The sequence below is a fragment of the Homo sapiens genome, chromosome 10 (genome assembly GCF_000001405.40).
Source record: "Homo sapiens chromosome 10, GRCh38.p14 Primary Assembly".
Classification (NCBI taxonomy): domain Eukaryota; kingdom Metazoa; phylum Chordata; class Mammalia; order Primates; family Hominidae; genus Homo; species Homo sapiens.
This window is the reverse complement of record NC_000010.11, coordinates 92,836,184-92,852,015: the sequence shown is the minus strand read 5'-3', so window position 1 is coordinate 92,852,015 and position 15,832 is coordinate 92,836,184. Positions and strand designations below refer to the sequence as shown.

The 15,832-nt window shown below is 44.5% G+C and overlaps 1 protein-coding gene across 11 annotated transcripts in view, besides 2 other annotated features; it reads right to left on the bottom strand.

Annotated features, from left to right (window-relative positions):
• Positions 1-15,832, bottom strand: part of EXOC6 (exocyst complex component 6) — a 232,660-nt gene that overhangs the window by 207,475 nt on the left and 9,353 nt on the right. For 4 of the 11 annotated variants that reach the window (XM_024448047.2, NM_019053.6, NM_001319195.2 and 1 more), the window contains exon 1: positions 3,382-3,496. The exons of the other annotated variants lie outside the window; for them this stretch is intronic. Coding sequence is in view for 3 of the 4 variants with exons in the window: in NM_019053.6 (NP_061926.3) it covers positions 3,382-3,482 (101 nt within the window). In the remaining variant the exon portion in view is untranslated. Of the gene's footprint in view, positions 1-3,381; positions 3,497-15,832 lie in introns of those variants that run through there. 11 annotated transcript variants of the gene reach the window in all.
• Positions 3,050-3,389: a silencer, noted in NCBI's record as "silent region_2626". NCBI's record gives its function as "represses an Ori minimal core promoter by ATAC-STARR-seq in GM12878 lymphoblastoid cells {active_cell/tissue: GM12878}" and the evidence as "EXISTENCE:reporter gene assay evidence [ECO:0000049][PMID:35858748]".
• Positions 3,530-3,679: a silencer, noted in NCBI's record as "silent region_2625". NCBI's record gives its function as "represses an Ori minimal core promoter by ATAC-STARR-seq in GM12878 lymphoblastoid cells {active_cell/tissue: GM12878}" and the evidence as "EXISTENCE:reporter gene assay evidence [ECO:0000049][PMID:35858748]".

The window sequence follows — 15,832 nt, the reverse complement described above, 5'->3', positions numbered from 1 at the left end:
CTCTCTACAGCCTTAACGACCCAGACTCTGAGCCATTCTCCCACGTTAGCCTCCCGAGTAGCTGGGACCACAGGCACACACCACCACACTTAGCTAATTTTTGTATTTGTAGAGACAAGGTCTCATTATGTTACCCAGGCTGGTCTTGTATGCCTGAGCTCAAGCAATCCTCCTGCTTCAGCCTCCCAAAGTGCTGGGATTACAGGCATGAGCCACTGCACTCAGCCTATTCATAATATTTCTTAACCTTTTTTTAATGTCTGTAGAATCTATAGTCACGTAACCTCTCTCACTCCCGTTTTTTTGTTTGTTTGGTTAGTTGGTTGGTTTTGTTTTTTTTTTGTTTGTTTTTGTTTTTGTTTTTTTAAGATGGAGTCTCGCTCCGTCGCTCAGGCTAGAGAGTAGTGGCATAATCTCGGCTCACTGCAACCTCCGCCTCCCGGATTCAAGCGATTCTCCTGCCTCAGCCTCTCGAGCAGCTGGGATTACAAGCGTGTGCTACCACACCCAGCTAATATTTTTTTGTATTTTTAGTAGGGACGGGGTTTCACCATGTTGGCCAGGCTGGTCTCAAACTCCTGACCTCAAGTGATCTGCCTGCCTCGGCCTCCCAAAGTGCTAGGATTACAGGCGTGAGCCACCGCGCCTGGCCCTGTTATTTTTAATTTGTATCGTCTCCTTTTCTACCCCTAAAGGTTTATCAATTTTACAGTCTCCTCAAAGAACCAGTTTTGAGTTTCACTGACTTTCTGTATTTCTGTCTCACTGAATACCACTCTGATCTTTACCATCTCCTTTCTTCCACTCTTCTGAATTTCATTTGCTCCTCTTTTCCTAGTTTCTTAGGCTAGGAGCTGAAGCCATTCTTTTCTAGTAGAGGTGTTTGGTGCCATAAACTTCTAACTATTTCTTTAGCTGCATTCACAAATGATATGCTGTGTTTTCATTTTACTCAGTTTAAAATACTTTCTAATTTCTCTTTTGATTTATTTTTTGTGTGTTAGTCAATGACCAAATATTTGGGAATTTTCCAGATAGTTTTTGTTTTTTTGTTTTTTTTAACTACTGATTTCTAATATACTTCTGTTGTGGTCAAAGAACCATGTTATATGTCAGGGCCTGCGGAAAGTTTATCACGTGCTTCTCAGGAAAAGATCAGGCTGAAAAATCCCGCCGCTGAGAAAAAACAATATAAATAAAATGATAAGTCTACAGGCCAGCTAAAAGATAATTAGGAAATAACAACAAAAATTAATCTTAATACTAAAATATTTATGAATAAATTGATGTCTTGGATTTCCTTCAAAATAATCCAAGATGATAGGGAGTAGATAAGGGAAGAGATCAAACAAGACTGGCCAGGGAATGAATTGAAGCTAGATGACAGTTCATGGTGGTTCATTACACTATTTTACTTTTTTAAACATTTAAAATTTTTCCATAATAAATGGTTTTTAAAAATGCAATATTAACACTTCACTTCGTGAAACCTGAAAAAAAAGGGAAAAAATAGTAGTAGCTTAAACAATGTTCAAGAGAAAAGACTGCTAGCAGTACCCTCTATATGTGTGCAAAAAGCGTCTGCTTATAAATGAGACACAAATATACATATATATGGGATAAGTATGAGTCACCAGGGATTGCTAAAGAAAAGAGAGTGGGTTCAAACAAAATGAGCCAGTTGAAACAACTGCCCAGCAAAAAAGAACAGAATAACACTATGAATACACATATTCTGTTCCTGAGTGTCCCAAAAATCTCTCAATATATTTCAAATTTTTCTTCTAAGTTAATTTCATCTTTTTTCAAGGACACTACCTAGCACATTTTCCTAAGATGAAGCACCTCCTTCATAACCAGTACTATTTTCACAAATAAACTACTCTAGTAACTTTATCACACACTGCACTCTCAGTTTCAAGATGCAGTGATGAAAACAAAGCTTCCTTTTAATCTTACTTCTTTCATTACCAAGTATACAGTTTATTAAAAGAAATAATAATGTTGGAAAATTAAGGAAATGCACTAATTATGCATTATCATATCATAGCAGAAACCTTATGTGACAAAAATTTATAACATGCCTACCACATGCTTGGTGTTAGGGATACAGTAGTGAACAAATAGGCAAGGTCCCTAATGTTCTGAGTTTCCTGGGCATCTGAATACTCTCCCCTCCCCATTCTACAAATAAGGAAACCGAGATCCAGAGAGGTTAAATAATTTTTTTCCATGACTGCACATTTCATCAGAGGCAGAATTAGGGCAAAACAAGAACCCAGGCCTCCTGACTCTTAAGGGCAAGGTGTATTTACATAACTTGAACTGGCTTCAATTTACACTATATTCACAGGTCCACAAACTGTACAGCGCTCTATTCTAGGAAGTGTATTCTGAAGAATACTAATGATAAAGCATAATCAGTCTCAAGTTCCCTAAGTGAATAATAACTTCATTTATCATTATTATCACTCCAAAAGATGAAACCTTATATGTAAAAGGAACTTATTCTTGAAGACAGTGCCTAACCTAACCCATGGCTCATTACGTTGCCTGGCTAATAATATTCTATTGGAACAGCAGGTACTCAGTTTGGCATGGAATATGCATTACCTAGTACTATTCTTAAAATGAATGGGGAGGAACTCGATTTAAACGGAAAAATTAATGCAATTTTAATGAAATGTTTGTAAATAAGTAAAAGCTGTTCTGCCTCCAAAGCAGCTTAGATCCCGCGAGCGCAGGGTCACCCTAGCGTGTTCCCAAGCAGCAAGCAGCTGCTCTCCTCCAGCCCACGCTCTCTTCTCCAGCCCACGCTCTCTTCTCGCCCACTGCGGCCGCGCGGGGGAGTAGGGGGAAAGCGGGCCGGCGTCTCCCGCTCAATTTCAATTCTCCCACGCCCGCGGCAGCCCGGCGCGCCAGGCTTTCCACCCGCGCGCGACCTGGCACCTCCGTCACGCCGGGTGCCTGCTGTCGACCCTAGCCTGGCATGCCCGCGGCCGAGCAGCCCTCAGCCCCACCACGAGCGAGACGGGGGCAGGCCCCAGAAGTGTCCTCGGGCCCGGGGGCCGCAGCCAGGAGGAGAACGCGGGGCCGCAGCGCGGGGCCCGGGGTTAGAGACCCTGCAGCAGCCACACCCACCGGCTGCGGGGTGACAGCTACAGCGGTGGAGGCAGGCCGCGCCGACAGGTGCAGCCGCCTTCTCGGTCCCGCCCGGGTACCGGCTAGAGTTCCGCCACCCGCGAGCGCCCCCGCCCGCCCCCGCGCGCACCACCTGTCGGGGAGCTTCGCGCGCGGCCGGCGGCGGACGCCCCGCCCGGCTCGTGAGGAGCGGCCGGCGTGGGGCGGGGGGCCGAAGTCCCGGTGGGATGAGATCTTTACCGGAGGGTGGGCCCCACACAGGCGGTGTCGGTGCTCTCGATCTCCTGCAAGATCCGCTCGTGCTCGGGGACGGTGCCCAGACTCTCGCTGTTCTCCGCCATTTTGGCTGGAAGCTGAGGAGCCAGCGAGGCGCGGCGCCGCGGGAACGACGGGGGCGAGCTCCAAGTGGCGCGAGCGCGAAGGGGCGGGGCGGGGGCGGGGCGCTCGGGCCGGCGGCGCGGGGGCGCGCGGAACGCCGGGCAGAAGGCGCGCGACCCGGTTCCCGCCCCCGCACCTGCAGGAGTGAGCGGGGGCTGTGAGCTGGGGCTACGGGCGGCGGCCGGGTACCCAGCTGGCCTCCTGCCCTCTCTCGCGACTAGTCCCTCCTGGGCGTCTTGTGCCTGGCCTTTGGGCTTTAACATATCTCCTTGTCTTCTGTGTGTGCCACACCCTGTGCCACACGCGGGGGTACCGTAGTAATCAGCAAGGTGGACACTCAGATCATCACCCTGAATCTGTAATAAGAGCCACGGGGACATTTAACAAGGGCCTGATGTACTCTGGGTCGTGGGGAGTCAGAGAAAGGAAAACATGCACTCACGAAAAGCAAAATTGCATGTGATAGTAAGATTTATTTTAGGAACGAATAAAGATCCCAGTTGACCATGAAGACCGCTCCAGGTGGATTCATGTCCCCGCCTGCAAGAAGTCCACAGCGGCCAGTCAACTTGGAAATAAATTATAAGCGACATAAAAAATTAAATGATGAGAAGTTAAGACACTTGATGGCAGAGATACCAAAAAAAAAAAAAAAAAAAAAGGCCCAGGGCGATGTGTAATTCATACCAAAGTCCGTGAACTCAGGTGCCCCCAGGTCAGAGTAGCTGGGTTGAGAAGGGGTGAGAGCTCTTGAAAGGGGGTTAGCAGCAGGGAGGTGGGAGAGAGAGGCAGGGAGGCTTGGACAAAGGTATCAGTGTAGAAAAAAGTCGTGCTTAATGACATGTTTGTGGGACACTGAGTAAACCAGTTTGTCATGATCAAAGCAGGGAGGAAGGAAGACTAAACAGGAACAGAATGGAAACCTAGCCTGAGGAACAACTACTTTCTGCTCTACATTAATCCAGGGCTTTGAAAAGCTTCCCTTTGAGTCAACCAAGCTCTTTATCCAGCTGTGTAACTCACTCACCCTTAGTGAGCTTTTACTTGAAACCTACCTCCAGCCTCCTCCCCACAAACATCCTGGGAGGTGGTATTGTGCAATAGTTAGAGCATGAGCTCTGAAGACCAGTGTCCGAAGACATTAATTCTTGGATTAATATCACTTGACAGCTGTGTGACATTGGGCAAGAACCTAGTTCTTTTATATGTCAGTTAAATGACTGTAAATGACAATGGCAGTGTCTGCCTCATATTGCTGTCCCATGGTGTATGAGTTTTCCATTGTTGCTTTAACAAATCACCACAAATTGAGTAGCTTAAAATGACTCAGACATATTATCTTACAGTTCTGTACGTTAGAAGTCTGTCACAGGTCTCACTGGGCTAAAAATCAAGGTGTCAGCATGTCTGTGTTCCTTGCTAGAGACTCTGCGGGAGAATTTGTTTCTTTGCCTTTTCCAGCTTCTAGAGGCCACCCACATACCTTGGCTTGTGGCCCCCTTCCTCCATCTTCAAAGCTAGCAGCATTACATCTCTCTGACCATTCTTCTGTGGTCACATCTTCCTCTGACTCTGACTTAGGCTGGAAAAGATGCTCAGTTTTTAAGGACCCATATGATTAGAGTGGACCCAACCATTTAATCCAGGATAATCTTCCATCTCAGGGTCCTTAACCTTAATCACATATGCAATACCCCCTTTGTCATGTAAAAATAACATATGCACAGGTTCCAGGGATTAGAATGTGAGCATCAGTGGGACCCACTGCCTACCAAACTTAGGAAGGGCCCTATAAAACATTGCTAATGCCCTCCTTCCTATTAATCTGGAATCTTCAGAGCAATGGATTCCAGCTATACACATCCATTGAGCTAAGACAGTCTTCCATTTCCTGCAGAGAGACCTAGCTTTTCATTCTTTTTGTGGGAGGGGATAAAATTTGTCTTCTTTTTTTTATGTTTCAGTTTCAATTTTCAAAAGGTTATTTTCCCCTCTCAAGAACTTCTTAGGTCGAGCACAGTGGCTCACACCTATAATCCCAGAGCTTTGGGAGGCTGAGGCAGGAGGATTGCTTGAGCCCAGGAGTTCGAGGCTGCGGTGAACTATGATAATGAGCAAAATGAGGAGAGCAGGGCATGTGGCACAGGCCAGTTTCCTATTTGACCAATGTCTCCAGCTGGGGAATTACTTTCCTGATCATTCCTTCCCTAGAACTCTACCCCTTTTCTTCACCAGTCCTGATACCTTTTATTCCAAAGCTGGCTCCAAGTGCCCCTGCTCTGGGAAACCAGCCCTGCTTAGGCACTCCTCAGGCCAGCCCTGTTTCAACACCTGCCCATAGAGATTACTTCAACATAAGCAGCAGTATCTTCCCCGAAATTCAAGTGAACATGGAAGGAAGTCCATTTACCACTTCTCCTTCTGAAACAGTTTTTGCTGGTTCCCTCTGAGACTTCTGACAGTTCCGTGAGTACCTGGAGGTTTTAGCTAAGAATTCAAAGCTAAATGTCCTAAATAACTAATTGCACATTTGTTTTGTTTGTTTGGTTGGTTTTTTCGAGACAGAGTTTCGCTTTTGTTACCCAGGCTGGGTAACAATGGCGTGATCTTGGCTCACTGCAACCTCCGCCTCCTGGGTTCAAGTGATTCTCCTGCCTCAGCCTCCGGAGTAGCTGGGATTACAGGCACGTGCCACCACGCCCAGCTAATTTTGTATTTTTAGTAGAGACTGGGTTTCTCCATGTTGGTCAGGCTGGTCTCAAACTCCCGACCTCAGGTGATCTGCCCGCCTCGGCCTCCTAAAGTGTTGGGATTACAGGCGTGAGCCACCGTCCCCGGCCCTAACTGTACATTTTAATCATGGACATAGATATATCAAATATGTCAATGTGGGGTGGGGGAAGCCTATCCAAGGGATAAATGATTTTTTTTTTTTTTTTTTTTTGAGATGGAGTCTCTCTCTGTTGCCCAGGCTGGAGTGCAGTGGTGCGATCTTGGCTCACTGCAACCTCTGCCTCCCGCTTTCAAGCGATTCTCCTGCCTCAGTCTCCTGAGTAGCTGGGATTACAGGTACATGTCACCACATCCAGCTAATTTTTGTATTTATAGTAGAGATGGGCTTTCACCATGTTGGCCAGGCTGGTCTCACACTCCTTCCCTAAAGTGATTGCCCTGACTTGGCCTTCTGAAGTGCTGGGATTACAGGCATGAGCCACCACGCCCAGCCCCAAGGAGTGAATGATTTAACGTCTGCACTGAGAAGGTTGCGGAGTAGCAGGGCACAGACAGGCAGATTGCAGATGCATGTGGAATTATTTTTTGGCAGTGGATATTGACTTCCAGAGATCAATCCAAAATCTCTTTTCAGGACTCCTGGAAGAAGAAAGATACACCAGGAAGACCAGCAGGACAGGAGATGCATTTTGTGTCCAGTATAAAAGTAATTGGCAAAGTAAGGATTTGACTTGTAAATAAACTCTTAGTCATTAGGAACTTAACTTTGCGCCTTTTATCTACAGACTAATGACCTGTCTTGGGAAAGCGCCTCCCTCAGAATGAGGTTGTAGAGTGCAACTGCTCTGGTCTGGCATTTAACTACTTGAATTCAAATTCCAACTCATCTCTTACTAGATGTCAGGCCTCAGGGAGTTACTTAACTTGACTAAGGCTCACGTTCTTCAAGTGTGAATTAAGGACAATAAGAATCCCTAGCTCACCAAATTATGTGAGGATTAAAGAAGATAATATATGTATTATGTTTAGCCTAGAGCTCAATCAACATTAGCATTGGCGACTAGGGTTATCAGGCATTTGCTAGTAAGCCAGAGAGCCCAGCATTTTAGCCTCCTCTTTGATAAAATAAAAATAAAAACCAGACACATAAATGTTCTTTTTCCTAATCATTAAAAAAAAACCTGATTGTGTATCAGGGTTTTCTGCATGTTTGGTGGATGTAAACCAACTGAAATATGTTTCCTGCTTTTGTAGAGAGGGAAACAGGAACATGTCTTTGGGTTGGATTCTTGGTTCCAGACCCATTTTAGTGAACCCTCTGGATCCTGCGCTTTTAAGGCAAGCACCTTTCGTTGTCCTTGGGAGCAGTGCTCACTCATCCTTGGAAGCACATATCATGGTGGTGAACAAATCACTGAGTCTGTCTCCATTTCCAGGAACTGCTCCTACATCAGGCACAGGGACGATGCCTGTATTGTTCACTGCCCAGCCCAGTGCCTTGCATATAGTAGAGGCTCAATTAATAAGTGAATGATCCACATGCAAATACTTGTCGTATTAAGCTTAATGTTGTAAATGGCATGTTTTTCTTTTTTTTCCTTTTTTTTTTTTTCTGAGACACAGTCTTGCTCTGTCACCAGGCTGGAGTGCAGTGGCGCGATCTCGGCTCACTGCAACCTCCGCCCTCCAAGTTCAAGTGATTCCCCTGCCTCAGCCTTCTGTGTAGCTGGGACTACAGGCACGTGCCACCACGCCCAGCTAATTTTTTTTTTTTTTTTTTTTTTTTTGAGACAGAGTCTCGCTCTGTCGCCCAGGCTGGAGTGCGGTGGTGCAGTCTCGGCTCACTGCAGCCTCCACCTCCAAGGTTCAAGCAGTTCTCTCCCGAGTAACTGGGATTACAGGTGCCAGCCACCACGCCCGGCTAATTTTTGTATTTTTAGTAGAGACAGGGTTTCACCATCTTGGCCAGGCTGGTCTTGAACTCCTGACATCGTGATCCACCCACCTCGGGCTCCCGAAGTGCTTGGATTACAGGCGGGAGCCACCGCGACGGCCCACTCAGCTAATTTTTTGTATTTTACTAGAGATGGAGTTTCACCATGTTGGCCAGGATGGTCTCGATCTCTTGACCTTGTGATCCGCCGCCTCGGCCTCCCAAAGTGCTGGGATTACAGGCGTGAGCCACCGCGCCCGGCCAAATGCATGCTTTTAGAGGTAGGGTACACATTTACAAAAAGATTCCCCTCCTCACCCCTGGGAACCCTATCATTATCCTCGCAAAACTTTACATCATTCAAATGTTTCTTAAAGAGTTTTAGAGCTCTTGTTATAGAATTATAGAACTGTATCAAAATGTAAAGTACAGGCAGTCTTTATACATTGGCTCTGATAAACTAATCCTTCCCAGTGGCTTTTAGCCACTCGTTTCAGATGTCCACCGTCGCAGGGGCCCTCCTCCAGCTTCTGCCTTTTTGGTGTGGTGACCCCAAGTGGCCACACTCTGTAAGTGCAAGAGAATAAACAAAGCCCAGCTGGTCTGGGAGGATTCCTGCTGTAAAACCCTGTGCAGGAATCGGCTGTTCCATAAAGATCTGGACCCCACGGTGGAGAACAATAGAAGGAAATTTGAAATTGAAGCCAAATAAAATCAGTTTTTTTCTAAAATACGGGCCAGTCCTCAGAGGAGTTCAAAAGCAACTAGCCCCGGGTTTTGTTCATTCAACAACTATTTTTATTAAATGTTTGCTGTGTACCATGTTCATGTATTAAGCTCTCAGACAGGGCTGGCTCATGGTGTGTGACCTACGCAGTTGCCTTTGGTTCAATACCCTGTCATCACCATCTTGTAATTCTTAATAATTTTTGAAAAAGGAATCTACATTTTCATTTTGCCCTGGGCCCCACAAATTATGTTGCCAACCCTGCCCTCAGAAAAATGTCCTGAAAGCCCTCAAAACTAAACATTTTAAAGTCCACTGAGCAGTTAAAGAACAATATCATTTTCTCTGAGTTCCATTCTCTCTTTCCTTCAAATAACACACCCCCCACCCCACCAACTCCACCACCACCACCAGTTTATAAGACAAGCAATTGTCCCTGCTCCCTACTCTTACCTTCCTTCTCCTTGTTGGTTTTCTTATTCGTCATCCTGTTCAATGCACTCTCTATTCCTCTCTCTTTCCCTGCTTAGCCTTCCTTTACTGCCCTTTGCCCTTTCTCCCTTTCCTCTCCCTTGTCCGATTTTTCTCTCTCCTCTTGGCAAAATAGGATTTGAAATGTAGCTAATGAAATGATGATGATGATGATGATGATGATGATGATGACAGCTGACATTTACTCCCTGGCTAGGGATATTAGCATCCCTAAATCTTCCTATTCCTTACCCTTTTTTTTTTTTTTTTTTCTGAGACAGAGTCTCGCTCTGTTGCCCAGGCTGGAGTGCAATGGTGTGATCTCAGCTCACTGCAACCTCCACCTCGCGGGTTCAAGCAATTCTCCTGCCTCAGCCTCCTGAGTAGCTAGGATTACAGGCGTGCACCACCACACTCGGCTAATTTTTGTATTTTTAGTAGAGACAGGGTTTCACCATGTTGGCCAGGCTGGTCTCGAACTCCTAACCTCATGATCTGCCTGCCTCGGCCTCCCAAAGTGGTGGGATTCCAGGCGTGAGCCACTGCACCCGGCCTGGTTTTTATTCTTCATAGCACTTATTAACACTTTTTTTTTTGGTGTATTTCTGGCTCTTTTCACTAAAATACAAGCTCCCTGTGAGCATGGACTTTCCAGATCTTGATCTTGCTGTATCAACGGCACCCAGACCACTGCCTGTCACATTGTAAATGTGCCATTATTATTTATTTACTAAATGAATGAGTGAATGAGCATTTGCTATGAGACATTACATTTCATTAATACATTTCATGCCTAATTCAACTAATCCTTTCAACAGCTCTATTAGTAATTATAAAGGCAGAATTTGAACCCATATCCTTCTGGTTCCAAAACCCATTCACTTAACCACTAAATAAGCAAAACTGTCCCCCTGGTTGGAATATTTGGCTCCTAAACATAAAAATGTTTTTAAAGTTTTATCTAGTGTTGCAATAAACATCACATAGCTAATGATATCACTTAAATGTCCAGCAAAAATTGGGTAACTGTATAGCCGAGTCTCATAAGACATTCCAGGCTTTTTGGAGGTGCAACAGATGCAGCAAGCCTCTGTCACAGTTAGGCCCAAATTTATTTCTGAACAATTTCTCTGGACTCCATTTTTATGTAGAACGCTATACTATTCTCATTAGAGATTAAATCAGGTCATGATATTGCATTAGTATAAAATATAAGCATTAGTGAATGTGATTTTTCAAATTGACACCTCTCTCCCCTGCATATAATGCAACCAAAATAAAATTTACATTACTGTAAGCCAGGCACAGAAATGCAAATACTGCATGATCTCACTTATATGTAGAATCTAAAAAAGTTGAACTCAGAGAAGTCGAGAGTTGAATGGTAGTTACCAGAGGCTGAGGAGAGACATAGATGGGAAAAGGAAAGATGTTAATCAAAGATGTTAATCAAAGTTTCAGCTGGACGGGAGAAATAAGCTTTGGTGATCTACTGCACAGAATGGTGGCTATAATTAATAATAATAATATACTGCGTATTTCAAAATTGCTCAAAGTAGATTTTAAGTGTTCTCACCACAAAAAGTATGTAAGGTGATAGATATAATAATTAGCTTGATTTAATCATTCTACACTGTAAACAGACAGTGAAACGTCACGTTATACCCTATAAATAGGCTGGGTATGGTGGCACACACCTGTAATCCCAGCACTTTGGGAGGCCAAGGCAGGCGGATTTCTGGAGTTCAGAAGTTCAAGACCAGCCTGGACAACATGGCGAAACCTCGTCTCTACAAAAAATACAAAAACTAGCCAGGCATGGTGGCACACACCTGTGGTTCCAGCTACTCAAGAGGCTGAGATGGGTGGATTGCTTGAGCCCAAGAGGCCACTTGAGCCAAGACTGTGCCACTGTATTCAAGCCTGACTGACAAGAGACAGACCCTGTCTCAAAAAAAAAAAAAAGTTCTACACTCTAAATATATGCGATTATTATTTGTCAAATTAAAAAAAGTTTTAAAAAATTTACATAACTCAATATTTCACACCTGCTCAGAATTTCAAGGTGTTATGCATGATTGTTTACTTCAGGACTCTAAAGTATGTATTTATTAAGTCATACTAGAATATCCATCCCAAATGGAAACTAGACAATAATAGTCAACACTAATATTTATTATTTACTCTGTGCCAGCCAACTATTATGCTAAGCACCCTATAGACACTAATTATTTGAGATAGGTTTTATCATAATCCCCACTTTATAGTTTCAGAAACTAAGGCCAAAATCATACAAGTAGTAAATGTTCAGTCCAGATTAAAATCTAGACCTTTGATCTTAATGAATATACTTGATAAAATAAGATTTAATACAAATCTTACATTTATAAAGATATAAATAGCAAGAACATTCTAGAACATCCACAGTTAAATTTAACTACTTATTTTTTGTTTTAGTATGTCATTCTAAGATTTTATAGTATATACAGTTTAGGGTTTTTTTTTTTAATGTTTTCTTTCCTTTCCTAAAAGCACGTTATCTTTATTCCTAAAAACATTAAAGTCAAAGAAATATGATATCCTGTTTGCTCTTAAACTGATAAAACTTCATGGTCAGCTTTTGGAAAAGTGCCTGAGAGAGTCTGTGAATACAAGTGTAAAACAATTATGTTATCATAAAACAATTACAAAAATTTCTTCTGGTACGTCATCTTGTACAATTCCCTTTTCCTCCTATTTTTCCCAGCCCTCTGCAGGGCCTTCTTTAGACATCCACCCCCGCCCCACAGCCCCCCACCTTTCTACCTCCCACTAACTTTGCAGTACCCTACAATGTGTCCATGATTTTATCATCTCAGGCTCAGCTACAGCCACAAAACATGCTGTGACTTCTGAACCCAAGTCGGTTCAGACATTGTGACCTCAGGACCTGTTCTAAGGGGCTAACAACACACCTGCAGGACCCCAAGGGGCATCACGAGCCCCAGGCTACATCCAGGTCTGAGTCAGTATCCAGGGGAGCAGGTCTGATGGGTGATGCCTGACAGCAGGAAGTTCTAGTGTGAATATGGTAAATAAATGTTATGAACACTGCTACTACCCTATCCTAGGACCATACTACCGTCACTAATTTATCAGGATCATCCTCAATATGAAGATTCAGGCAACCATTCCCAATGCATTGAATCGATATGCTACTTGAAACCTATTGACCATCCTTGTGCAAGGAATTTGATAATACTGAGTAAAACAGGGACTAATGTTGTTTCCTCGAACATGGCCCCGGACAGCCATTAAGTCTCCCAGGGACAGTCACGCCCCCTAGCGGAAGGAGCTGGCAAGGAGCCAGGCACATCTACACCAGATGGAGAGGCTACAGTGAAAATCAGGAAACCTAAACAGAATGAGAACATCCAGTGGAAATTAGCCTGTGGTTGCAAGCAATGAAAACAATGATGCCCAGGGCAAAAAGATTAGGGCAGCAAAACTAGTTGCAGACTTTACCTGCCCGTAAGTTTCAGCCTACCAATATTCTGCAAGCTAGGGGATTTTTTTTTTTTTTAGAGGAGTCTCACTCTGTCGCCCGGGCCAGAGTGCAGTGGCCCGATCTCGGCTTACAGCAACCTCCGCCTCCCAGGTTCAAGTGATTCTCCCGCTTCAGCCTCCCAAGTAGCTGGGACTACAGACGTGCACCACTACGACTGGCTAATTTTTGTATTTTTCAGTAGAGATGAGGTTTTGCCATGTTGGTCAGGCTGGTCTTGAACTCTTGACCTCAAGTGAGCTGGCCTTAGCCTCCCAAAGTGCTGGGATTACAGGTGTGAGCCACCGTGCCTGGCCTAGGTAGGGGATTTTGAATGGCCAAAGCTAAACCATGCTGGGACAACACAGGCACTGACAGTAGGCCTTCCTTTACATTTCTCCCTTTTTTCTTAAGTTCAGTCGCCATCTGCATGGCTAACATCAAATTCTACTTTTCCACCGTGGTATTTTCTTCCCCAATTCAAACTCTATAGTTGGCTGAGATGGCTTTAATGGATGTTTCATTGGCAATGCAAATAAACCTTGGGAAAAGTATAGAGTCTCAGCTCTCTCCTGAAACTATCTTTCCTTCAAACTTAATGCTATGGGCCTTAAACACCATTTCACACACAAAATGAAAACAAATGCAAGACCTCAGAATCATCTGATTCTTGTCCACTCTTTCAAAAAGAGGGCCAAAGGAGCCAACACAAGGGCTCATTGGGAAAGTCAGGCAGGAAACGAGCTGGACCATCTGGAAGAAGCTTGTCCTGGGAGTAGCCATGTATAAAGTCAGGAGGTGGGAAGAACACAGCCTGGTGGGGTGAAAGGCATTATAGGCCATTGACAATGACTCTTGGTCGCCACAACCCACTCATGACGTCTGAGACAGAGGAGACTTGTTTTCCCAGATGATGTGTGGGAATGAGTATGCGGGAAGGTTTGAATGCTCTGCAAAAGAAGTGCCGTTCAGTTACCCTTGAATTACACTGGTAGAAACCATCTCTTGAGTCCTGAGTCACTGAGCTCTCTGAGCTCACCTTTTTAGGGGAGCAAACTCCACCTGGCCCAGATATGAACTCTGACCTCAAATAGGCCACCTCAGGTTGCCTACCTGCAAAACAAGGTGGGCAGGGAAAGGAAGCTAACAGAGTTCAGGATTTTACAGCAGAAAATATTTGCCAAAGCAATGCCTTTTTTCTGTGACAGGGAAAAACACGTAGGTAAACGCTTCAGTATTCTCTCTACCTCAATTCCCAGGTGTAAGCTTTTCCCTGGGAATGTTTCTCTCTTGCATTTCCAGTCCCAGTATCCTAACCTTTCTCTCACTGTTCATTCCGGGGCCTCAAGGCAGGGCCTTCAGCTGCCTCCAGCCAAACTCCTTTTCCACCCTCTCAACCCTTATAGCTTATAGTTTTCTTTTGGTTTTGGTTTTGGTTTGTGTTTGGAGACAGGGTCTTACTCTTGTCACTCAGGCTGGGGTGCAGTGGCATGATCACAGCTCGCCGCAGTCTTGACTTCCTGGGCTCAAGTGAGCCTCCCCCTTTGGCCTCCCGAGTAGCTGAGACTACAGGCACAAGCCACCAACTAATTTTAAAAAGTGTTTTATAGGGACAGGGTCTCACTATGTTGCTTCAGCTGGTCTTCAACTGGCCTCAAGCGATCTCCCACCTCAGCCTCCCAAAGTGCTAGGATTACAGGCATGAGCCACTGCATGTAGCCAGAGCTTGACGTTTTAAAATACTTCCTCCTCCTTCTCTTCTTTGCTGAAATGATGACATTCTTGCTGGACTGCCTCTTTTCACTTTTATTAGAAAGGTAAGTATTTTCGTCACCATTAGCCCATGAGCTCGTATGAATCACATTCTTAGGGGCTTCCACAACTGAATATTCACATCTAGATGGGGATTCACAATGGAATATTCACATCTAGATAGGAGAGGCTTCAAAGAATTCAGAGCATTTGTTCTGGCTTGTGTGTGTGTGTGTGTGTGTGTGTGTGTGTGTGTGTGTTATGTTATAACCATTTCAGGCTAAAGATTCCTGAGGGCAGGGCCTGTGTCTTACTTATATCTTAGTAACCTTTATAGAGTTTCCACAAGGCCTAGCACCTAGCAGCTAGGTAAGTAGCACTAGAAAGAGCATTAGAGCTATGCCTTGCAAGATACATTGGGTTTTAGCAGGCAGAAAGAAGAGCGAATAATAGGGGAAAGGAACCCTAAGCTCCAGGAGGCATATTGTCAAATAGCAGAGTCTAGTTTGACTGAAATGAGAGTCCTGTCATTATTTTTCAACCCTCGTATTTGGCCACATGAGCTGATGTGTTCCTTAAGCACAGTTACAGTAGAAAATCAGCGACACACGTACATATGTATGGAAAGGCATCAAATGCCAATCTAAGAAATCTTCATCTAATCAACTTATTAGATGAACAGTTTAGAAAATTAGGAAAGCTTTTTGTTGAATACTGTCCCAGATAAAGGCTTGTTAGGGGGTTGCAACTTCACTCTACCCCCCAAAATAACATCAGTGTGTTTTAACAGTAGCCTTTGGAAAGGAGTGTTCTCACCCTTTTTTATACCCAAACATTAACCTAACAATTGGCATTTTAGGCCCACTGCATGGTCGTGACAGGGTAGCACCCGGGGAACATATCTATGCAGGCTCTGCCCTTGAGGGTGATGCTGAGAGAGTGCTGTGGCTGCCAAATCTAAATGATTTTTTGCTGTAGAAAGACAAGGTACAAGATTGGTACCAGGGATATTTTTCCTAAGAAGAGAAGGTAAAAAAGATCCAAGCACCAAGAAAGGAAGTCAAGTCCAACACCAGAGACAGACTAGCCGACAGGTTAGTTCTAAGGACAGACAAAGTCTGTAGATGTTGGCCAGTGTTGTGAGACCGGGGAGAGGTAGAAAGGGTTACAAGTT